Below are 25,788 nucleotides of genomic sequence, written 5' to 3'. Positions count from 1 at the left end.
TTCCCTATTATAAAAGTAATATGTGTTTTTTCTAGAAAACCTGGAAAATACAACCAGCAACAATGCAGTCCTCAGAATTAACTGCTATTAATATATTTTCTTCTATGGATATTGAAGAAAATATATTGTTTTCACCTAATTAAGATCATACCATATAAATATATCCTTTTTCTTCACCTAGCATTATGTCAGATGCTTTTTCCCACATTAAACAATCTTCCTAAAAATTAATGTTAGTGGTTATATAATCTTTTTGTAAGGATGTTATACAATCTGCTTAATTCCTCCCACCACTGGATATTTGGATGGCTCCTGACTTTTCAAAATTATAAAAAATGCCATAACTAATGTCTTTGTACATAAATTTTTGTCTGTAGCTTGGATTATTCCCTTTGGAGAGCTATCCCAGAAGAATGTAAAGTGACTTAAATATTTTAATCACCACCATTTCTGAACTTGTACAGAATGAAATACAAGTGAAGTAAAATGGAGGCCTTATTTTAATTTTCTGAACACTGTCTATTCTGATTTAAATAATTTTCTAGGATAAAATCATGCCACATTTTCCTATTTATATTCAATTTTCATTTTGCAAATGTAAATGCATTTCCTATTGCCTCCTGTGTTATGTGGTTTAACCAATACATAGTATTCTGCACATACAGTTTCAATTCTGTTGTTTTTGGAATCTGTTATGCATATGACTACTACAAAAAGTTTCAGTATTTGAATGTAAGCTTGTTTTTTTTTTAAAGCAAAGGTCAAAAATCACAAACCCTATAATTTATTTTGTTAATAACTGGTAATTTTTCTGCACTATTTTAATAACACATTTTCAAAAGTAAAGACTAAAATTACATAAGGAATAATCGACCCTACAGACCCTTTCTCTTCATGACAATCAAATTTAAATTTGGATAATTGAAATCAAATTTGGTAACCTAAATCAAATTCAAACTTTCTCACAAAGCTAACCATGATGTACATAAATTTCAGAGATTAAAAAGTTTAAATAAATGCTATTTGCCTTGTGCATATGATATATTCACATTAATGAAATACTCTCATTTTAAATTTTATATTAACATAATTTATACATCTATATCTTAATACACTATGTTGTGCATAATATGCATATTTTAAACTGCTCATTAAATTTGCATAATGGGGTGCTCAGTCGAGTAAGTTAAAAAATAGCAAGACCAATATTTATTCTCCATACAGAAACTTGGCAGTATCACTTGCACAGAAGGATTTTGTTGATTACAGATGATTTGCAAAGAAAATTCAAGGATCTCTAGTCAAGAATACTTTGATGGCTCTTGGCTCCTATTACTCAAAAGCACTCTATTTCAGTAACAATGTATCTCATTTACTCCTAAAATACTATCACTCCAACTTGGGTTACAGACACTGATTTAGTCAGAGAAGTGCTGCTCCTTTGAGGAAATCACCTCTGAGTTAAGACGAATTAACAGAGAGGGGCCATCTTGGGAAGATCTGGCGGGCCTAGGTCACAGCACATGTGCAGAGCCCTGAAGATAAATAAGCAAGGAAGTGGAAGTCCCTGGCACAGAATGGACAGGGTGACTGTGGCGGAGGGCTGGGCCCAGTCACCAGGGCCTCATAGGCACAGTAAGGTGACAACAGAGCATCACGGTGGAAAGCTCTTGGAGGCTCTGGAGTAGGGCAGCAGCAGCATCTGATTTATGGCTTTGGAAGATTCCTTTGGCCACTGTGGGTCTTATGAAGATAACAGTGAATCACAGACCAGTTTAAAGCTACAGCAGTACTCCAGGCAAGAGATGCCATGGGCTTAGAGTATGTTGATAGAAACCCAGATGGAAACAAGTGGGTAGACCCGGGACCCATTTAGGAGGCAGAGCCAGTAGACCTTGCTGCTGGACTGAGTGTGGGAGTAGGGTGTGGCGGGGAGGGGGAACAGGAAAGCAGAAAATTAAGGTCACTGTTCCGCATCAACTGGAGGAAAAGATAGTGCCATTTGCTGAGGTGTGGGAAAACTGGAGGGAAAAACACCAGGCTTACAGATTTGTGATGAGATGTCAGGATGACAAATATGACTTTGGGCCTCAGCTCATGGTTGAAAACATTAACATGGACATTACTGGCATCTAGATCAGTGCCTTTCAACTTACATACAAAACCAAACCAAAAAAACAACTATGTGTGAGCCCTGGAGATACCAGCCTGAAACAAATATTTTGTGAAAAATAGAATTTATTTTATTCTGAAAAAATAAAAGTCAAGACCAGCAAATGTGTTCCCACCCACAGTTTGTAAACATACAGTGATCTAGACCTGGACTATTCAATACGGTAGCCACTAACCATATGTGGCTATTTAAATTGAAATTAAATAAAATAAATAAAATTTGAAATTCATTTGTTAGTCACGCTAGCCACATTTCAAGTACTCCATAGCCACAGATGGCTAGTGGCTGCCATGTGGACAATGCCGATAGGGACTCTTTCTATTATCCCAGAAAATTCTGTTGGGATGTACAGATGCTGCTGCTTTAAATTGCAGGACTAGGTGGGATAACGTTGGAGCTGAGTAGAGTATAAATAGAGAGGAAGATAGGGTCAAAGGTGACCCTAACAAATGAGGTTTGCTAGAGGACTTGGAGCCACAAGAGCTAGGGGAAAAACCCAAGAGAATGTGCTGTTCAGAAGCCAAGAAGGAAAAGTGTTTCTAGCAGAAAGAGGTGCTCACCTAAGTCAAGTGCAATGAGAAGTTAAGTAAATCAAGGACAGAGACAAATATAATGGATCGGGCAAGAAAGGGCCAGTGTGTCTTAGATGAGAGAAGTTTGAGTAGAATGGTTGGGAAAGAGGCTACAAGGTTCCCAGTGAGTTTTTTTTTTTTTAGCAGCTTTATTAAGGCATAATTGAAATGCCATAAGCTGAACGTATTTAAGGCAGACAACAACCACAAGCATACTATCTGCATGATCTAACATCATGGAAACATCCAACACCTCCAAAAGTTTCTTCTTCATGCTTCTGTGCAATCTCCCTCCTCCCATTCCCAGGAAAAAATTGACCTGTTTTCTGTCACTCCAGATTAGTTTTCCTTCTCCAGAGTTTTACATAAATGGAATCATAACACTGTACTTTTTAGTGTGGCTTCTTTCACTCTGCACTATTATTTGGAGATTCAGCTACACTGCTGCATGGATTAATAGTTCATTCCTTTTCTGTTGCTGAGTAGCATCCATCATAAAGATGTACCACAATTTATCCATCCACCTGTTGGTAGAAATGTGGGTTGTTTCCAGTTTGGGGCTATTATAAATAAAGTTGTTTAAAACATTCATGTACAAATCTTTGTATGGAATATGCTTCCATTTCTTTTGTGTAAATATCTCTGAGTGGAATGGCTGAATCACTGATCTATTTATTTGTCTATGTTTATACCCATACCATATTGTCTTAAAAAGTACAGATTTATTTATAGTAAATCCTGAAATCAGGTAATGTTAGTCTGCCAACTTTGTTGATCTTTCTCAAAATTGTTTTGGCTATTCTAGGTCCTTTAAATTTCCTTAAGAGCTTTAGGGCTGGGTGCCGTGGCTCATGCCTGTAATCCCAACACTTTGGGAGGCCGAGGTGGTTCAATCGCCTGAGGTCAGGAGTTCAAGACCCGCCTGGACAACATGGTGAAACCCTGTCTCTACTAAAAAAATACAAAAATTAGCCAGGCATGGTGGCAGGTGCCTGTAATCCCAGCTTCTCAGGAGGCTGAGGCAGGAGAATTGCTTGAACCCGGGAGGCGGAGGTTGCAGTGAGCCAAGATTGTGCCATTGCACTCCGGCCTGGGTGACAGAGTGAGACTCCATCTCAAAAAAAAAAAAAAAAAAAGGAATTTTAGAATCAGCTTGTAAATTTCCCTGTTGGGGTTTTGACTGAGATTGCCTTAAATCTGTAGATCAATTTGGGGAGAACTGACATCTCAACACTAATGAATCCTCTCACCCATGGACATGATTTATCTCTACTCTCAGTTAAGAACTAACTTATCTCAGCAATGGTTTATAATTTCCAGTGTACAAATATTGTTCATCTTTTGTCAGATATATTCCTATTTAATATTGTTGATGTTATTGTAAACAGTATATTTTTATTTCCAATTGTTGCTGGTATAGAGAAATACAATAGATTTTCATATATTTATCTTGTATCCTGCAAGCTTGCTGAACTCATATTAGTTCTAGGAGATTTTTTTGTAGATTCTATTGAATTTTCTACACAGTCACATTGTCTATCAATAAAAACAATTTTACTTCTTCCTATTTAGAAGCCTTGTATTTCTTTTTGGCCTAACTGTACTGGCTAAAAGCTGCAATACTGTGTTGAATAAAAGTGGTGAAAGTGAATACCCTGACCATGTTACTGATCTTAGGGGGAAGCATTCAGTCCTTCACCAGCAAGTATGTTACCTGTAGGTTTTTTGCAGATATTTTTTATCAACTTAAGGAGGCTCACTTCTATTTCTAGTGTGCTGTTTGTATCAGCAATAGAGGCTGGGTTTTGCCTAATGCTTTTCCATTACTGACATGATTAGAGGGGTTTTTCCCCCTCCTAGTTTTTTAAAGTGGTGAATTACATTGATTTTCGAATGTTAAACTAATCTTGCATTCCTGGGATAAACCACACTTGATCATAATGGCTTTTTTACATATTGTTGAATTCAATACTTGTCTGTACATTTCTTTTCTTGTAATATCTTTATCTTTAGTATCAGGGTATTGCCAGCTTCATAGCATGAGTTGGGAAGTATTCCTTCCTTTTCAAGTTTCTGGAAGAGTTTATGTAGAGTTGGTAGAATTTCTTTCTTAAATGTCTGGTAAAATTCCCCACTGAAGCCATCTGGGCCTAGAGGGTTTTTGTTGTTGTTGTTGTTGTTTTGTTTTGTTTTGTTTTGTTGTGTGTTTGAGGGGAGGTTTTGAAAGGTTATACCTATTAAGAAATTTTCCTGTATGAGACAGCAAAAACAAAACTCTCTTTCCTACTCCCACACTCAACACAGAATACCTCATGTCACCAAAATGTGGGTGGGGGGTTTCCCCACATATCAAGTAATTCTCCAGAAGACATCAACAGAGTGTCCTACGATTCAATTCAATTCTGACACTTTTTTTTTCTTTTGAGACAAGAGTCTCACTCTGTCACCCAGGCTGGAGTGCAATGGCATGATCTCGGCTCATTGCAACCTCCGCCTCCCGGGTTCAAGCGATTCTTGTGCCTCAGCTTCCTAAGTAGCTGGGATTACAAGCATGTGCCACCATGCCCAGCTAATTTTTGTATTTTTAGTAGAGATGGGGTTTCGCCATGTTGGCTAGGCTGGTCTCGAACTCCTGGCCTCAAGTGATCCGCCCACCTCGGCCTCCCAAAATGCTGAGATTACAAGCGTGAGCCACTGTGCCTGGCTGATTCTGACACTATTTACCTGGAGCTGGCGTTAGAGTTAGATGCTACGGGTTAAAGTCTCAGGCCCACAAGCCTGACTCCAGCTTCAGATGCCAATTCTAGGTTCCAGGTTGTCAACCTATACTTCTGGCTGACCAGCTATGAATTGAGGTTCTCATGACCCTCTCTGAGGGTACAATAATTTGCTAGAGCAACTCCCAGAACTCAGGGAAACACTTATATTTACTTATTACATTAATAAAGGATGTGATAAAGGATACAGATGAACAGCAGATGAAGAGACACACAGGTCAGGGCTTGAGGGAAGGAGCATGGAGCTCTCGTGCCCTCTCTGGGCCCCTCTCCCAGCACATACATATGCTCAGCAACCCAGAAGCTCTCTGAACCCCACAGTTCTTCAGGGATTTTTATGTGGGCTTTATCATATAGGCATGATCAATTATTAACCCTATGTCCAGCCCCCTTCCTCTTTTTGGAGGATGGGGGTAGGGCTGAAAGTTCCAAGTTTCTAACTGTGGCTTGGTCTTTCTGGTGACCAGCACCCACTTAGGTGCCCACCAAGACATGCCTCATTAGAACAAAAGACACTCCTATCACCCAGGAAATTCCAACAGATTAGGAGATCTGGGTCAAGAACTGCGGTCAAAGATGAAATATTATAACAAAAGATGTACATAGCAACTGATTGCTCAGGAAATTGTAAGAGTTTTAGGAGTTCTGTGCCAAGGACCTGGAGCAGAGAGCAAATATGTATTTCTTATTATATTACAATGTTAAGGCAGGAGAATAGGGTCTGGAGGCAGGGAAACTAAGGCTGGTTTGCACAGACTGACTAGAAGTGAATCAAAAGGAAAACCCTAACTTTCCACACTCAGGTAACAAAAGGATCAGAGGCTGTTCTCTTTCCAACCCTCCTCACTTTCTGCATTGCAGATGAAAAATGGAAAGTACTTCTGATAGGTCCTCTCCCGCAAACAATCAGACTGGTCACAGGCCTAGCCTTCATCTGCACAGGGGTGTAACTTTGAAAATTCACTTCAGCCTCTGATTGGTCACCTTCTGCAACCAATCAGACTGGTTGCAGGCCACTACTTCATTTACATAGGGTCTAACCAAGTAACCAATGGGAAACCCCTAGAGGTTTCTGTAACCAGCACTCTTGAGCCACTTGCTCCAGCCCACTCCCAGTCTGTGGGGCGTACCTTCGTTTCAGCAAATCTGTGCTTTCATTGCTTCATTCTTTCATTGCTTTGTGTGTTTTGTCCAATTCTTTGTTCAAAACGCGAAGAACCTGGACATTCTCCACTGGTAACAATATCAGGCCTATTTCAACTAAGTTGTTGGATTTACTGGCACAAGCTTGTGCATAATATCTATAGAATCTGTAGTGATGTCACCTCTCTCATTCCTAATGTTAGTAATGTGTCTTCTCTCCTTATTTCCATTTATCATTATGGCTACAAGTTTATCAATTGTATTGACCTTTTCAAAGAATCGGCTTTTGTTTCACTGATTTTCTTTATTGGTTTTCTTTTTTTTATCTTCTTTTTTTGAGATGGAGTCTCACTCTGTCACCCAGGCTGGAGTGCAGTGGCACAATCTCGGCTCACTGCAACCTTCACCTCCCAGGTTCAAGTGATTCTCCTCCCTCAGCCTCCCGAGTAGCTGGGATTACAGGCATGCACCACCACGCCCAGCTAATTTTTTATATTTTTTGTAGAGACGGGGTTTCACCATGTTGGCCAGGCTGGTCTTAAACTCCTGACCCCAAGTGATCCACCCGCCTTGGCCTCCCAAAGTGCTGGGATTACAGGCGTGTAATTACACTGTGCCCAGCATGTTTTTCTGTTTTCTATTTCACTGATTTCTGCTTTTATCTTTATTATTTCCTTTCTCCACCTTGCTTTGGGTTTAATTTGCTCTTCTTTTCCTGGTTCCTAAGGTGGAAGCTCAGGCCATTGCTTTGAGACCTTTCCTGATGCAGACATTTACTGCTATATGTTCCCCCACCCCCAGCAGCACTAAGCATTGCTTTAGTGGCATCTCACACATTTTGATATGATGGGCTTTTATTTTCATTCAGTTTAAAATAGCTTCTAATTTCCCTTTTAATTTCTTCTTTGGACTGTGGGTTAGAAATGTGTCATTTAGTTTCTAAGGATTTGGAGATTTTCCAGATAATCTTTCTGTTACTTATTTCTAATGTAATTCCACTGTAATCAAAGAACACACTTTGTATGGCTTGAATCTTTTTAAATTTGAAAATTGCTTTCTGTCCCAGAATATGTCTGTCTTCATAAAAGTTCTGTGTACATCTTATTAAAAACCAGGCTGCCTCCAAGCTGATGTTTCACCACTACCTTTATACAGCCTCCTCCCATGTAACTTGTACGTATATTGGACATGCTGAAAGAAAGGATGAACACGAGTGTTCCCCTGTTGCAGGATATTCAAGTGAAAATGATATGTTATTTAAGGCAATTCTTTAACCACAACAGACATGATCTTTTGCAATATTCTAAAAAGGGAATCCATTCTTTTTTGAAGTTTCAGTCCCTGGCTAATAGGATGGGTGAGGATCAATGAGGAACTCCCTGGTGGATGTGGTTTCTGTATGGGGATCTGACACTGCTTACGCTCGACCGCCAAAAAAAAAAGAAGGAAACCCTGATTGAAGGCCTCCTCTATGTGGCCTCTTTACATGGTCCCGTATTTAATCCAATGTAGTAGAGGTTTTACAGTTCAAAAATACTGATATTCTAGTTCATTACAAGTCACTGCCTACGATCACCAAGCAAATGTTTGAATCCAGGCTTCTTGATGCCAACTGAATTTGATAAGTATGTACTGAGCCCATGCTCTAATCTAAGTAGAGTCTATGCCAGACTCTACTCAAGTGCTGAGATGCAGAGCAGAAGGTGGCAGAGGCCCTGCCTTCCAGGAGCTCCCAGGCCAGCTGGGAAAGAAGACACAGAAACACAGGCCCTGCCAACATATGGCATGAGCTGCAGCTGGGGGTGAACGGGTGCCCTGCGGGCAAAGGACAGCCCCTGTCAGGCCAGTTCAGGCTCCTCCCATGCTGCCTCCCACAGCCAAAGACTGGAGAAGGCAGCCAGAGCTCTGAGAGGCCTCGAAAGACCTCTGTGTTCACTGAAAGGCCACAGAATCCGGAAATGACTGCTCTGGAAGGGCCAGCTCCCTCCCTTTCCTTCCTCCCACCCTCTCCTCTCTCCTTCCCCCATCACTCCTTCCGGGGAAATTTTTATTAACTGACTGCCTCTCCACCAGTTTCTAAGATCTGGCCATTCTAGTTTCCTAGCAGTTGAAATACAATTTCAGCTAACTGCCATAATTTTTAAAAGACAAACAAACATTTGCCTTGACCTAGCTTTCAAGACAAGCAGTATCTATTTTCTACACTGCCTCAGTAGCTTTTGTCCAAATATGTCTCAAAATACTACCTAAGAGATCCTGGGTCCACACCTTAGAATCTACCTCTCAGCAGAAGCATTCTCTGTGGGCTGTTGTGCTCAGCCCTGGGCAGGGACAGAACAGCAGGTGGACAAATTGTCGCATGTACTGCTTGTGATGAGGCTGGGGCCGTGTGTCCTGAGGACTATGGATCGTATAATGATGCAAGAAGGAGAGAAACAGAAGAAAAAGGTTTGGCTTACAAATATAGAAGAACCCTTTGAAACAGATGCCTAAAAAAAACCTAATGGGCTTGTTCCTGCCAGAAAGGAGTCACCCAATACATACCACACATGGTAAGAAGCAGTGTAGCCACATGCCTACGAGAGGGACTCTAGAGTCAGATGACTTGGGTTCAAATCCTTCTGCACCACTTAGAAATGAATCATTTTCTCCATGCCTCAGTTTTCCTCACCTATAAATAGGAGCAATGACAATAAGACCTCACCTCAAGGATGCTGTAAGGATTAAATGATGAGATGAATTACTGTATGTTACATGTTTGGAAAAGTGCTTAAAGAGTAGTAAGTGCTGTACAAGTGCTTGATACTGTCATCATCGTTATCATCATCATCATCAGACTACACTGAACTTTCCAGTCTACAAATTCAAATCAAGAATATGCTACTCTGGGCCAGGCATGGTGGCTCACGCCTGTAATCCCAGCACTGTGGGAGGCCGAGGCAAGCAGATCACCTGAGGTTGGGAGTTCGAGACCATCGTGACCAATATGGTGAAACCCTGTCTCTACTAAAAACACAAAATTAGCAGGGCATGGTGGCACATGCCTGTAATCCCAGCTACTCCGGAGGCTGAAGCAGGAGAATCACTTGAACCCAGGAGGTGGAGGTTGCAGTGAGCTGAGATCACACCATTGCACTCCAGCCTGGGTAACAGAGCAACACTCCGTTTCAAACAACAAAAAAAAAGAATATGCTACTCTGACCACACTAAGAAAAATGTAGCTTATATCCCCCCTGCCCCACCCCCGCCCATTTTCGCCATGGGAAAGGTTTGACATTGAAGACAGAGGAGAAGTATGTTGTGTGACACCAAGTGAGACCATGGGTGCTCAGGCTGGGGCATGGATGTCAGGCTGGGCGCAGCACACATGTGTTTCTTCTGAGGAAGCTGTCAGTGTTCCACCAGTGTTTCTCCCTCAGTGATGGTCAGTTTTCCCAGCTTAGACAACAGAGACTCTAACCGCTGAGAAAATCCACAGCAGGCTCTCCGTCCTGCCTGGCCAAGGGCCACAGTCCCTGTAGCTCCTTCCTCAGATTCCTGCCTGGGACCGCTCCTCCCCACAGCCTGAGCAACAGCCCAGGACCAAAATCAGCCACTCCAGAGCCACCCAGACTGTGCGACCTCCCGTCTCAAGGGACTACAAAGGAGATCGTATTTATTCTTCACATCATGAAGTGCTAGAATTGCACTTGAAAACATTCCTTAGGTGGCATTTCCCAACAGCTCCCTCCTGGCTAAACACACACACGCGCACACACACACACACACACACACACAGTGGCACCAACCACCTCCCTCCGCTTTCAGCTCCTCCTCCTCATGCTGGCTCCTCTGAGTCTTTGGATGTGGCCGCTGTCACACTGCAGGTGAAGTTTTACCCTCTCACGGAAAACAATGAAAAGGTCCTGTCTTCAGTAAACTCCTGGGCCCCTACCTCTCATCTCAGTCCTGGGCACTATTTTGGGATCTGAGAATGCACCGCATGGACCTTTTTAATGCATTCACTCACCCGAGACTATTCTTTCCTATGTGTGTGCATTTCTAGTTTGCTTGGCACAGTACCGTGCTCTCGCGGGTACTGAGTATCTGTCAGGGACTCAGATACAGCACATACTTACTGGGCACCTTTCATGTGACAGCCACTCTGTTTATTTTCACATACTGTCTCATTTGATCATTACAAGTATTATAAACCAGGCTCACAAGGGTTTAGCGGTTTGTCTGAGGTCACACAGCAGCTCAATGGTCAGACCAAGATTCAAACCGTAGGTTAATATAAAGGCCAAAGGGACCTGGGATGATCACCACCCTGGGGTGGAGGGCACAATTCCCTTTGCACCATGCTGCCTGGGGTGAGAAGTCTTTATTATTAAGCAACCGGGTTAGGTAATTATAGTCTAATTACAAACTAAACTAAAATGACCAAAAATGTGTTATGATAAACACAACAATCCTTTCATTTTCCAGTATGGGAGGAGGGACGAAAGACATGCAAAGGTCAGTGTCCACAGCTAGACTGGAAATTCTCCCCTGAGTACGACGAACCTTTTCCTCCAGTTCTGCCCGTAGCCTCTTCCCAAGGGGACAATAAAAATCTCCAGAGCCCTCAGTATCTCCCTCCTATTCTAGCTGTCTTATAAATTAGAAAAGAAGAATTTAAGAAGGAGGCAAAGCAGGGAAAAAAAGAAGAAAGAGGAGGGGAAGGAGGAAAGGAAGAATAGAGTGCGTGGAATGCTGACTTTTCTGCCCACTGAAATTCTACCCAGGCAGCCCTCAGAATCATCAAGACTCTCCTCATTGGCACGTCCAGTGCCCCCAGCCAGGTCCCTTGACACTGCTAAGGACCCCTATTTTTCCTTTTCTCTTTAAGTTATCAACTTCATTGAGGAATAAGTTAAGAACAATAAACTGCATCTATTTCAAGTGTATCACTGATCAGTGGTGACAATTGGTTACACCCAGGAAACCACCATGACTATCAAGATGCAGCACATTTCCGTCAGCTGGGTGTAGTGCCTCACACCTGCAATCCCAGCATTTTGGGAGGCTGAGGCAGAAGGATCACTTGAGGCCAGGAATTCGAGACCAGCCCAGGTAATAAAGCGAGATCCCATCTCTACAAAAAATTTAAAACATTGGCTGGGTGTGGTGGTGCGCACCTATAGTCCTAGCTACTCAGGAGACTGAGGCAGGAGGATCATTTGAGCCCAAGGATTTCGAGGCTGCAGTGAGCTATGATCGTGCTCCTGCACTCCAGCATGGACAACAAAATGAGATCCTGCCTATTAAAACACAACAAAGAAAAAACATTTCCATCACCACCAAAGATGTCTTATTCCCATTTAGAGCTCATCTGGTCCCAAACCCAGTTAATCTGTCACTATAAATTAGTTTGCATTTTATGTAAATGAAATCATTCCTCTTATGTATTCTTTTTTACTTGGCTTCTTTCACTCAATATTTCTGAGATTCACCAATATTAGATACTATTGTGTGCGTCCGCAGTTTGATTCCTTTTTTTTTTTTTTTTTTTTTTTTTTTTGAGACAGAGTCTCACTTTGTCGCCCAGGTTGGAGTTCAGTGGCGCAATTTCAGCTCACTGCAACCTCTGCCTCCCAGGTTCAAGCGATTCTCTTGCCTCAGCCTCCTGAGTAGCTGGGACTACAGGTGTGCACCACCATGCCCAGCTAATTTTTGTATTTTTAGTAGAGACAGGGTTTCACCATGTTGGTCAGGTTGGTCTCAAACTCCCGACCTAAAGTGATCTGCCTGCCTTGGCCTCTCAAAGTGCTGGGATTACAGCATGAGCCACCATGCCCAGCTGGCTTGATCCTTTATATTGCTGAGTAGTACTCTACTGTATAGCTAGACTGCTATTTGTTTATCCATTCATCTGCTGATAAATGTTTGGGGTTCTCGTCATTGCAAATAAAGTTGTTACGAATAAATTGCACAAGTAATTTTATGGTCTTTTTTTTGTTGTTTGTTTCTTTTGAGCCCATATTCAGTAATGCAATGGCTGAGTTGTGGAATGTGTATGCTCAACTTTTTCTAAACCGCCCCCCTCCCCACAGTTTTCTAAAGTGATTGTACCATTTTACACTCCCACCAGTGGGGTACGAGAATTTCAGTTCTTCCACATCTTTCCCAACACTTGGTGTTGTCAGTATTTTTCATATTAGTCATTCTAGTGAGTGTATAGCAGTACAATTTTGGGGGGAGTTTTTCAAGGAGCTTGCCTACTTCCCTCTGCAGCAGGGCCTCCAAGAACATTGGTTTGTTCCACATTGTTTTGACATAAGGTTGGGGAAAAAAAATAGACTCCCCCACAGAGCCACTGTCTGCGTGGGAATTCGCACACTCTCCCCATGTCTGCCTGAGTGTTTTACCAGTCCTCTGGCTTCCTCCCACATCCCAAAGCTGTGTGTGTTACGTGAACTGCCATAGCTACAACGTTCCAGTGTGAGTGAATGTGGGTGCAGGTGTGAGCATGCCCTGCAATGGGGTGCCTTCCTTTGCAGGGCTGGTTCCTGCCTGGTGCGTGCTCTGAGCTGTCAGGATGAGCTCCAGCCACTAGCCACACTGAACTGGAAAAAGAGGGGTGGAAAATAAATGAATACAAATTATTATAAAACAAAAATCATAAAGAATATGATGATCACTCAAAGGCATGGCAATCAACAATGCAGTCCGAAAGTGCCTGGCCAGTCTCCCACACTGGTTACTGATTATTTTGGAACCATGTGATGGGAGGGGGGCGCTCCTTACAATTTTCACTTTGCACACATTTGTTCCTGGATTTAACCCACTGCCACTATGATCACTATCACTCACAGATTCACCACAAACGGGGTGACTAATTATCAAATTTGATTTTATTAGTCTTTCTTAAATGTCTATATAGCTCACATTTATTTCAATGTTTAATATTAGAAGTGTTTGGGGGTCTTTATTTAGAAGTTTGGAAATGTTTTTGAGACCAGAAATATGCCGTAGGAACTTAACTCTCGTGTATATCAATTAGCCTATGGTCAAATTGGTTTTGTTTATATGTAGTTTCATTTAAAATCTCAGTTTCCAGGAACCTACCAATGATGTGAAGTGAAGATTTGCTGTACTTTCTCCACCTGGGTCTCTAACCGCCCCTCCTCACTCCCCTTTTTGCACTCCCACCCACCACCTGCTGATTAAATGCTGGCCTCCAAAGCTCTGTTCCCAGGCCCCTTGGGGCACTCTCTTTTACCAGCCACACTAGTGACTCAGATCTCATCTTTAGCTCTGGTTTCACCCTGAGATCCAGACCCACATTTTCTGGGGCTACCAAAGATCTCCATGAGATGTCCCATGGGCAGATCAGTCTCAAATGACCAAAAGTGAACTAACTCACTGTTACCCATCTGTTCCTACAACCTGTCCCTGCCCTTCAGGAAGTTACAGTGTCCATTTTTGTGTGCCCTGAACAAATCATCATCGAGATCTCTTCTCTGGCCAAATTAACCTATAAATTTAATGCAATTCTAGTCAAATACAAATATTCAAGAATAGTTAAGACACTTTGAATAAGGAATTGTAGACTTATTGGACCTTTATTAAGAACTTATTCTAAAGCCCTAGTAATTGAGACAAAATGCAGGGGTAGACAAATAGCCAGAAGTAGTCCCTACTTATAAGGAAACTTGACATACAACAGAAGTGGATTACAGAGCAGTGAGGGTACACTGAACTGACTGCCCAATAAATGGGACTGGGACAATAGGCCAAAACATAATTAGATCCCTACCTTACACCATATACAAAGACAAATTCAAGAGGGTTTGAATACCTAGGTGTAAAAAGTGAAAGTGAAAGCTTTCAAAGCCAAATACAAGGAAGACTGTATTTAAGACCTTACAGTCACGAAAGATTTCTTAAACAAGCCTTTTTTTAAAAAGCACAAGCCAAAGATGTCATTAATAAATTTGGCTTCAATTAAAATTTAAAACTTCTGTACACAAAAGATAACACAAGTGAAAATAAGCTCCACAGTTTGGGAAAATAACTTTGCAACCTATATCAAGGTCAAAGGATTGTCATCTAGAATATATAAATAACTCTTAAAAATCAACAAGAAAAACACCAACAACTCAAAAGAAAAGTGGGCAAAGATTTCAAAATGGAAATTCCCAGAGAAGGAAACATGAACACCCAATAAGCAAGTAGGAAAAAAAAAATGTCTCAACCTTACTAGCAGTCAGGAAAAATTTTGTTGAAACAATGAAATAGCATCAGTTGGCAAAATTTTTAACACTTAGCAATACCAGGTGTAGAAATCATGAGTTCAATAGGGAATTCTTATATCCTGTTGGTGGGCATGCATGCTGGTGCAAACATTTAAAAGCAACTCCATTTCTTATATATTCTTGGAGAAAGTCTTGTACACAAGGAAGGCAACAGGCCAATAATAGTTATTTTATTGCACCACTGTTCATAATAATGAAAAACTGAATACAGCCTGAGTATCAACAGAAGAATGGATAAATACATTACAGTGTATGAACAGAAAGAAATACTATACAGTAATAAAAATGAATGAACGACAGCTTTCTGTATTAACAAGGATAAGTGTCCGACACCTAATGTTGGGCAAAATACACAAGCTGAGAAAGAAAATTTGCAAAATATTCTTCACACAGTTACAATGCATACAAAATAATCCATGTGCATACTTGTCACCCCCACATGATTCCAAAAGTCTTACTCATCTTTGTCTTCCTAGCATAGTGAGTGCATAAGAAATAAGAGGAGCTGCTCAAAGTTTTGCAGAGTAAAGGATTGTACAAATGAACTGATTAATTCCTGTAACTCTGGCATAAAAGTGAAGAAAAAGAGAGAGGAGACACTGAAATCTTTAAATGTCAACTGAGTGAGGAAAAAACTAGACAAAGTGTCAACCGGCCCAGGAACTATGAAGGCTCCAGACATGCCCCTTCGAGCACTGGAAGCTAGCCAGACTTGGGGTGTGACGGAAGACACAGAGCATTAGGGGAAGGGTGGGCCTTGGATGTTCCTTTATACTCACACATACTAATACAGAGGAGACATCGAAGAGGCAATAGAAAGACAAGCAACATTTCCAGGGAGCTTGGAAAACTGACTTTATACAACATGCTGCTGAGAGACTTCTAAGAAAGAAAGAAGTCCAAACACGTTTCGGAGGGGATGCGGCAGCGGCCATGAAAACACAAGGTCCTTTCTCTCCCCCTGGAGTTTCTACCACATGGCTCTGTCACAGGGGCGTGGTATCACAGTGGCCACCCTCTACTCTGAGCTCTGCGCCCTGCACTAGTCCGTCTTGGGGCCCATGACTTTCATATTCCACCCTCAGCGCCCCACCTGCTCTAGCCAGTACCAGCAGCAGCAGATGGACACACATTTTGTAATTATCACCACAGCCAACTATCTGGTAGCCTTCCCTAGTCATTCAAAGTAATTCATCTGTTCCTCTCATTGATGATAATGTGCTGCTTTAAAAAGATGGGCCCGTTGGCAAGTAGGAAAAGGGGAAACTACAGTATCACTGCAAATCCCTGTTCTGTGCATTACCTATACTTATGTCCTTCTTTTAAGCATTTTGAGCCATTTAAAAAGCTAAACGAGATAAATGGATATTATGCAGTGGCCCTTGGATTGGAAATATTTCCTGACAAAAGAAGAAATGCTTAAAATCCCTGCTCAGGAAACAGTCTCACCAATGGCAGTGATTGTATACATTACGCAAGCTCTAATAAAGGGTGCCCAGAAGAACTGCGGATGCTCACCCAGCTTTTCCAAAAACAGACAAACAAACAACAACAACAACAAAAAAAGACCCATCCATTCCCTACGCAGAGGGTGGGGGGACGGGAGAGAAACAGCAGATGAGGATTCCAAAGGCTGGGATCCACATGGGCCATGCAACTCCCCACGTGTTGCCTCCTCTTTGTGCCCCTGATCAGTTACTTCCTTCAAGGTGCACATTCACAGGAGCCATCTGCCCTGGGCCTGGGGGCTGGCTGCCAACTTACAGCAAATTGAGTCAACTCCATGGTGAGTTTCCTGTGAAGCAGCTACCCGACACTTCTTCCAAAAAGCCTGACATTAGCAGATGGGTGGGAAGCAGGCAAAGTGTGAAGCGGGTGGTGGGAAGGGAAGAATTTCCAGATGCCCAAAGTTTAGATGAGTGAGGAAAATGGGCAGGTGGTGTGTGCCTCTTGGAAAAGGTGAGGATAACACCTGCAAATTGTTCCAAATGGCAAAATGTCCTCACCCAAAGAACCAGCTAGGCATTTAAAAATCACACTGAAAACTCCTGGATGAGGGCAAACAGGCAGGCAGTTGAATCAGTACTGATGAGCTCAGCTTTGGGGTGTTCCCCAACTCAGTGTGACACGGGGATTTGCTCCTGGAAGTTACAGGCATGAATCAGCTCCACAGCAAGCCCTCTCGCCCACCATCACTCACCACTGACACATTTAATTTCCCCCTTCTTTTTGGGGGGCAGGGGTTGTTTTTATCTTTCGAGAGGTTCATTTGCTGGCATGGCGCACCAGAACTGATCCTATTTTTCATTATCTGAAAGGAGGCTTATGGATCTGTTATGGGTAAGGGTTTGTGGCTGCTGTTGTTAAAATGACTTCTGTCAACATAAATTCCTGAAGGTCTTAACTACATCCTGTTTTTTCCCCCTCCTTTAACTTAAAACCACTGACACGATGTTTGTCCACTTATTTTCTAGACTATCTGCCTTTAAATAGTAATTTGTTCCACTGTGAGCGAAGTCCCATTAATCTATTTTATAGATTCAGTCCATTGTTCTTGGGCTAATTTATTTTTTTACCCAAATCCCAACCTCTATTTGTATGCAGCAGAACAGTTCATTAACCCTCCCCTAGATTCAATCTTACAGCATTTAATTCTCCCCTCACTTACTAACTGGTGTCTCAGAATCTTTACATTTTCAATTTGGGCAATGTAAAATAAAATTCACATATATCATCCAGTCACAGTAAATAATCAATAGAGTAAATTTGGCAAAATTATAATCTCCGACTTTAAAATCACTGAGGAACTAAAGTATAAATAACTTCACCAAGATTCTCATTCATTGTCAATGAGGGAGTGTATTATTTGCTACAAATAACTGAATTTTGCCTAAATAAAAGAAACCCATTTCCGGGCTTTTGGGGACTTTTGATTATAACTATCTCTGTTATAGACATAGAAATTAAAGTCATGTGTCACATTGTCTTTATTTTATATTCTTTCTTTTGTCTAGATAAGTCTAAGCATAGGAAGAGAGTGTAGAGCTGTTTCTAATACAGGGTTGGCCATTCTCAGTTTAATGAATAAGAAAAGGCCATAAAATCACAGTCAATCATTTGAAAATGCTAATCGGGTCCACTGCCCTTTAAAGCTTGTGCCTCCTCTATCGTGTCTCTTATAAAAATAACAATTATTAATTATCAAGAGAAAGAAGGCACCCAAAAGCAAGGCCCACGTGGCTTTTCCTACACTGCCATCTAATTTCTTCTGATCACTATTATTATTATTGTTATCATCACCATCTCATGGTCATCCTGCTTCTAAGAGTGTATAGTGAAAAATTTAACCTGCCCTCACCTCCTGAGAGGTGAGCTCTAAGCCCTTAGAATATCTGCCTGAAAAAAAAGCATCTTCGTATACTTGGGGTACGGTGCCAAGATAGATAGTCTAACGATGTGATTTAGAGTAGACGCTTTGAGTCATGTGGTATCAGCTGGAGACAAGGTCAGCCACATGGGTAGTCAACTATGTCTATGTGATTAAGCCCCAGTAAAAACTCTGGACTCCCAGGCTCAGGTTAGCTTCTCAGATTGCCAATACTTCCTGCATATTGTCACACATCACTGCTAAGAGAATGCTGTCCATTCCACAGGGAGGAGACAAGTGGAAGCTTCACATTTGCCACTTTCCTGGACTCTGTCCCCTGTGTCTCTTCCCTTGACTATAGCCTTTCCCTGTAATAAACCAGAACCATGAGTATAAAATATTTGAATTCTTCTTGCAAATTATCAAAGCTGAAGTTGGTTTTGAGGACGTGTGAACTTGTGATTGGTGCCAGAAGTGACAGCAGTCTTTTGGACAGTTCCCTAACTTTACAAAGAGTGCTGAATGAAGTCCAGGAAATAAATGCAGAGTTTTGCTTCATGACTGCATGTCTTCAGCAAGCTTACCTAACATTTCTGGGTTGATTTTCCTCAATTTATAAATCTTAATCAGCTTTATAAATATTCTAAAGTAGAGCTTGTGCTCAATTCATAAAAATTCAGGAAAAGGCAGTGAAGAGTTGACAGAGCATAGGATTTGGACTCAAATGTGGGTCCTATTCCAGCTCCAGCACGTACGGCTCTTTTACCTGGGGCAGATGAGGTCTGGTGCATAGAATCCTAATGAAAGTATGTGAGCAATTGTAATAATGGGACCAAAATCCTTTGGGCTATTAAGTAAAGCTACACATGTTTCTGGCTAATAAACCCCAATCCTTTAATACTTGCCTGCCCAATGACACTAAAACATTATAAGGCTTTTGTAGCCAGTGGCTACAGCCACTAAAATGTAGTTTTCATCTGATTCTGGTCTGTCCTTCTCAATTCCTTCTCTATTCAGAAACATTGTTCTAAACGTGACAACTTTTTAAAGGTGTCTTTTCAACTCACCAATCTAGCATTCAAGCTCTGTTCCTCATCCCAGCCCAAGATTGCCGTCTTTTTCGAGGAAACCCCATGACAGCCAGATGAAAAGGGTCTGACATAAGAAAGGAGTTCCCTGCCTATGGACACACACTCAGACCCATTGAAATGAATAATGTGACTGCTTCCTCTAGCAAGTGCAGATGCCCTAAAAAGCACATTCTGTCAAGCAATTTGGTTTCTAACTTAGAGAACCATCGAATAAGCTCACAGCCTGACATTTCTGTCCTTTCATTCCTAAATGTTCTTTGAACATTTAAATTTCCACCATAGTTTACTGTGGCCTTCCAAGAGGTTGCTTTAAAAATGGATGTAGAAGTTCCCTGCCAGGTCTCAGTTCCTAGATTAGTTACAGGCACACAGATATTCGATACACATTTGTTGAGCAAATGAATAAAGAAAAGATTGTAAAACACCAAGCTGTGTCTCTTTCAGTCATCACATGGTTTTCCTGTATTGTAAATACCACTTATATTCTCTCTACACTGTAAACAGCTCAATGCAGAAGGAATGTACTTCCATGTATCCATAAACTGAACAATGATTTTAAAAGATCAGTTTAAATGCTAAATAAATGATTGACAATGGCCATCACCAAAGCTAGTCTGAAAGTCAGTTACCATGAAATCATGGTAGAAGGAAACTCTGCCTTCTTACTGCCAATATGAGAAGAACAGCAGAGCAGGCCTGCCTTTTAGAAAACACTGCTCGATTTCTACTCACAAACCAGATCACACATGGCTTTCTGGTACCAGTGTGTGTCCATGACATTTCCATTACCTGGTAGATTACTGGAACCCAGAAATGCCTTTTGCCACCTACTCTCGGACTTAGTTATCCTGGATGAATGGATGCCTATCAATGTATAGGCTTTGATATCATTGTATAATTTGATACAATGATAGGTTCTATCAAAACCTCTAGTTCAAAAAAAAAATAAATGCATGGAAAGAAAAACCTGATGTTTATCAAAGAGCAATGGCATAGGTATCTTCAGCTATAAAAAGAGATTTTTTTAAAAAAGCTCATTGACTAGACAACTCCCCTAACAGACGGTAAGGCAGATGCCCTCAAGCCCACATTAAATGCATTTTCTGTTCATCCTCCCAGTACAATGGAGGTTCTATTTTGTAATCCCAAAATTGGAAACTGTGCAAAGATAGTGAGAAAAAGGAGAAGCAGCTCCTCCTAAGTCTGGCTAGCAGGCTTCCAGACCCCCATCTCTGATTTTTACCATGTCCACTAGGCTAACACTACTGATCATGCAAATACAAGTAATATCCAAAATAAAATTACTTTTGCCTCTTGCATTATATGGAAACATCCTTTTGCTACCTGTAAGTCAGATCTATTTTAATATTCACTACATTAGAAATGGCATTTACTTAAGGAAAAAAATGAAATCACCATTCTTACTAATCACTCACTCATACATTAGTGAGGTGCTCACAATTATACTGCTGTGTTTCCCAGCAGTCAGGAAGATTTACATGACAAGAGTCCGCAGACTGAATATGAATCAGTCAGGTCAGCTATGGATTTGGGGGGGGAATGAATATGAATCAAAATGGGGGCACACAAGTCCTTTCCCTATTGGCCAGTGGCCCATATAGGATGAAGCCGTAGACCCAAAGTATATGACAGAAGGTGACACACCAAAAACAATATCACTTCTGGGAAATTAGAAGATTCTTTAAAGTCAACTCTTTAAATGTAATAATCCAAGAATATCATTATTGGCAAACTTGGACTTCTTGCATATTTAACATGTGATAGGCAAGCATTACTTTATACAGAATAAGATTCAACTAGCATACTAAGGGCCTAATATGTGTGAAGCTTTATGTCATGTGCTTTAATACATAACCTGACTTCTCCGTTCATTAACTGTGTGAATTTAGGCAAATTACAGAACACTTCTATGCCTCAAATTCCTTAACTGACAACAATGGTGTCAATCTATTAGCTTTGTTGTGAAGATTAAATGAGACTTCCTGTTTCCAGTCAGGTATGTAAGAAGTTTGGAAATTGCCATCCCATCCTAACAAAAGTAAAAAGCTGAACAAACTCAAAAATCCACAACTCTTTTTAGATCCACAAGGGAAGTGAGGTCACTGAGCAAACAAATGCCCCCGAAGTAGAGGGACTCACAGGTGAATACAGAAAATCACAACTGCCTGGAAGAGAAACTCACAAGGAACAACCTTTGTGGGAACCAAAGGATGAGTAGAAAAACTTGAACTGGAATTGACAAATTGCTAGTCTCAGAGTGGACAAGTTTTAGAGATAAAAATTCCATGGGGATCCAGTCACGGGCAGAGGTAGGAGCATACCTTTGTACGAGTCTTACCTCTAAGAATTCTCCCAGGTCCTCACAGTGAACACTGGAGAAAAATTCCCCTGAACTTCCAGCAGGACGAGATAAAAAGGAACCATTTTGAAATACACCGGAGCATTCTGTTCTTCTTCTTTTTCTTCTTCTTTTTTTTTCCCCAAAGTCTAAAAGTTTATTTAACAAGATCTGTCCTGAGGAGAAACTAACCAGAGCCTAACCTGACAGGGTTTTAGTAGAGCCTGAGTGACCTGGGGGAAGGGAAATACCAAACTCCAGCTGGCTCTAGCTATCCATTCCACCTAAAGGGGCATGGGGGCGACCGAGAAGCACTTGTGAAGTTCACAGTTCAAGGACACAGGCTCCCTATATGACTGAGAACTAATCACAGGACTATGGATGCTTCCCCTCTCCTCACACCTTACTACCACACTACTTAAGGCCCATTTACAGCAGTTCCTTTTACCTAATTCATCATATTCAGATATCAAAAAAAAATTATAACACACAGTAAAAGGCAAAAAAATTTGAAGAGACAGAGCAAGCATTAGAACCACTCAGATACAGCAGGAATGTTGGAATTATCCATCCAGGCATTTAAAACAACTCTGTTTAATACGCTAAGGGCTCCGATAGATAAAGTAGACAGCATGCAAGAACAGATGGGGAATGTAAGTAGAGAGATGGAAATTCTAAGAGAAATGCTAGAGATGAAAAATACTATAACAGAAATAATGCCTTTGATGGGTTCATTAGTAAACTGCACACAGCTGAGGAAAGAATCTTTAAGCTTGAGGATATCTCGACAGAAATAATTGGAGAGGTATTCTATGTTCATAGATAGGAAGATACAATATGGCCAGTATGTCAGTTCTTCCCAACTTGATCTACAGACGCAATGAAATCCCAATAAAAATCCCAGGAAGCTGTTCTGTGGATAAAATCAATAAACTGATTCTAAGGTTTATATAGAAAGACAAAAGACCCAGAACAGCCAACACAATGTTGCAGGACAAAAATAAAGGTGGAGGACTCACACTACCAACCTCAAGACATACTTGAAGCCACAATAATCAGGACAGTGTGGTATTGGTGAAAGAATGGACACGTAGATAATTGGAATAGAAAAGAGACCCAGAAACAGACTGACATAAATATCAACTGATCTTTGACAAAAAAGCAAAGGCATTCAAAGGAGCAAAGGTAGGCTTTTCAACAAATGATCCTGAGACAACTGGAAATCCACGTGCAAAAAATGAACCTGGACCCAGACCTTACACTCTTCACAAAAATTAACTCAAATGGATCGCACATGGACCTAATGTAAAGTGCAAAACTATAAATCTCCCAAAAGGTAATGTAGGAGAAAAATCTAAATGATCTTGTGTTTTCCAGTGATTTGTAGATACAACACAAAAGGCATGATCCGTGAAAGAAAACATTGATAAGGTGGATTTCACTAAAACAAAAATTCCTGCTTTGTGAAACACCCTGTCAAGAGAATTAAAAGAGAAGCCACAGACTGGGAGAAAATATTGCAAAGAACATGTCTGATAAAGGCCTATTATCCAAAATATTCAAAGAACCCTTAAAATTCAACAACAAAAAAAAACAAACACACCCAGTTAAAAGATGGACCAGAAAACTTAACAGACATAGTTAACATCTATAGTTATATAGATGACAAATAAGCATATGAAAAGTTTCTCCAAATCATACGTCACCAGAGAAATGCAAATTAAAACAATAATGAGATACCACTACACACCAATTAGAATGGTCCAAATCCAGAACAATGACAACACTAAATGCTGGTGAGGATGTGGAGCAACAAGAACTCTCTTTGCTGGTGAGAATGCAAAATGGTACAGCTGCTTTGGAAGACAGGTAAGCAGATTCTTACAAAACCTAAACACACTTTTCTTACAATACAGTAATCCTACTCCTTGGTATTTACCCAAAAGACTTGAGAACTTATGTTCACACAAAAACCTGCTCAGGAATGTTTATAGCAGCTTTATTCATTAATTGCCAAAACTTGGAAGCAACCAAGAGTATTTCAGTAGGTGAATGAATGGATAAACTCTGGTACATCCAGATAATAGAATATTATTCAGCACTGAAAAGAAATGAGCTATCAAGCAATGAAAAGACCTGGAGCAAACTTAAATGCATATTACTAAGGAAAAGAAGCCAGTCTGTAGCTGCTAAATGTTGACATCACATTTTTTAAAAGCCATTTTGGGCTGGGCATGGTGGCTAATGCCTGTAATCCCAGCACTTTGGGAGTCTGAGGTGGGCACATCACCTGAGGTCAGGAGCTCAAGACCAGCCTTGCCAACATGGTGAAACCCAGTCTCTAGTAAAAACACAAAAATTAGCCGGGTGTGGTGGCACGCGCCTGTAATCCCAGCTACTGAGACTGAGGTAGGAGAATCACTTGAACCTGGAAGGCAGAGGTTGCAGTGAGCAGAGATCGTGCCACTGCATTCCAGCCTGAGAGACAAAGCAAGACCCCACCACAAAAAAAAAAAAAAAAAAAAAAAAGCCAGTTTGAAAAGGCTTCAAATGTTCATGCTATGGCTATTCTGAAAATAGAAAGGCTATATACGGTTAATTCCAAAGATATGACATTCTGAGAAAGGTAAAACTATGGAGACAATAAAGAGATCAGTGGTTGCCAGGGGTGAGTGGGGAAGGAGAGATGAACAGGCAGAGCACGGAGGATTGTTAGGGCAGTGACACTACTCTGTATGATGCTGTAGTGGTGGATACATGTCATTATGAAATCAGTCAAATCCATAATGTACAGTACCAAGAGTGAATCCTAATGTTAACCGTGGACTTCGGGCGATAATGATGTGTTAATGTAGGTTCACCAGTTCTAACAAATGTACCTCTCTGTGAGGAGATGGTGACAATTGGGGAGGCTGTGTACATGTGTGAGGTGGATGGGAGTGAGCATATTGGAAATCTGTACCTTCTAGTCAATTTCACTGTGAACCTAAAACTGCTCTAAATAATAAAGTCTACTTAAAATTATCTTTTAAAAGCTATGAAGAATTTAACAAATGTCAAGATTTTTCTGAAAAAAAAGATTAAATCTGTTAATACATGAGATGTGACTAGATCAGCACCCGGCATCTGCTAAGTGCCTAGTGATCTTTTAGCCATTATCATTGCTATCGTTACCACCACTAAAATTATCATTGTGGGTCAGGCTTGGCGGCTCATACCTGTAATCCCAGCACTTTGGGAGGCCCAGGCAGGTGGACTGCTGGAGCTCGGGAGTTTGAGACTAGCCTGGGCAACATGGAGAAACTTTGTCTCTACAAAAATAACAAAAATTAGCTGAGTGTGGTGGTGTGTACCTGTTGTCTCAGCTACCCGGGGGGCTGAGGCAGGAGGATCGCTTGAGCCCAGGAGATTGAGGCTGCAGTGAGCTAAGATTGTGCCACCACGCTGCAGCCTGGGCAACACAGTGAGACTCTTTCTCAAAAAAAATTAAAATAAAATAAATTTTAAAAATTATCACAGCAAATAATCCTTACCAATATGCAGAGACATGGTTATTATTACCTCCATTTTATAGAGGAGGAAAGGGAGACTCAGAGAGGTTGAGAACATTGCTTGAAGTCACACAGTTAGTGCTAGCATTGGCATAAGACTTTTGACTCAAATTCCAGTATTCTTTCCACCACTCACCCTACTTCTGCAATGAGGGATTATAAAATAAAAGTATCTGAATCAGCAAAGACATCTTCCTCACATTTCTAACTTCCAAGTGGCATAACAATTTTAAGTAAAATAATTTTGATCAATAACAGCACCTCTAGAGATCCCTGCTTAGAAAAGAACACCATTAATTGATAGGCATTTAGTTCAGACAGGGCAAAGTCCTATAAAGTTCTAAGCCTCTTGCTGAGTCAAGTAGCTTAGGAAGACTGGCAGATTGGAAAGAAAGAGCACAAGATCAGGTGTCAGAAACTCGGGTTGAGTCCTGACTCTCTTGCTCACTGCTCTGACATTACGGGCAAGCTACCCA

The 25,788-nt window shown here is 41.1% G+C and overlaps 1 protein-coding gene across 1 annotated transcript in view, besides 3 other annotated features; it reads right to left on the bottom strand.

Annotated features, from left to right (window-relative positions):
- PPP1R14C (protein phosphatase 1 regulatory inhibitor subunit 14C) overlaps positions 1 to 25,788 on the bottom strand; it is a 107,349-nt gene that overhangs the window by 3,337 nt on the left and 78,224 nt on the right. The gene's annotated exons all lie outside the window — the stretch shown is intronic.
- Positions 16,969 to 17,263: a silencer, noted in NCBI's record as "tiled region #12981; K562 Repressive DNase matched - State 8:EnhW". NCBI's record gives its function as "represses a minimal TATA promoter and a strong SV40 promoter by Sharpr-MPRA in K562 cells {active_cell/tissue: K562}" and the evidence as "EXISTENCE:reporter gene assay evidence [ECO:0000049][PMID:27701403]".
- Positions 20,628 to 21,610: an enhancer, noted in NCBI's record as "NANOG hESC enhancer chr6:150546582-150547564 (GRCh37/hg19 assembly coordinates)". NCBI's record gives its function as "activates a minimal SCP1, AML or CMV promoter by ChIP-STARR-seq in primed H9 embryonic stem cells {active_cell/tissue: H9 hESC(primed)}" and the evidence as "EXISTENCE:reporter gene assay evidence [ECO:0000049][PMID:30033119]".
- Positions 21,788 to 22,289: an enhancer, noted in NCBI's record as "NANOG hESC enhancer chr6:150545903-150546404 (GRCh37/hg19 assembly coordinates)". NCBI's record gives its function as "activates a minimal SCP1, AML or CMV promoter by ChIP-STARR-seq in primed H9 embryonic stem cells {active_cell/tissue: H9 hESC(primed)}" and the evidence as "EXISTENCE:reporter gene assay evidence [ECO:0000049][PMID:30033119]".

Source organism: Homo sapiens, chromosome 6 (assembly GCF_000001405.40).
Source record: "Homo sapiens chromosome 6, GRCh38.p14 Primary Assembly".
Lineage (NCBI taxonomy): Eukaryota > Metazoa > Chordata > Mammalia > Primates > Hominidae > Homo > Homo sapiens.
This window is presented reverse-complemented; position numbering and strand designations above follow the sequence as displayed.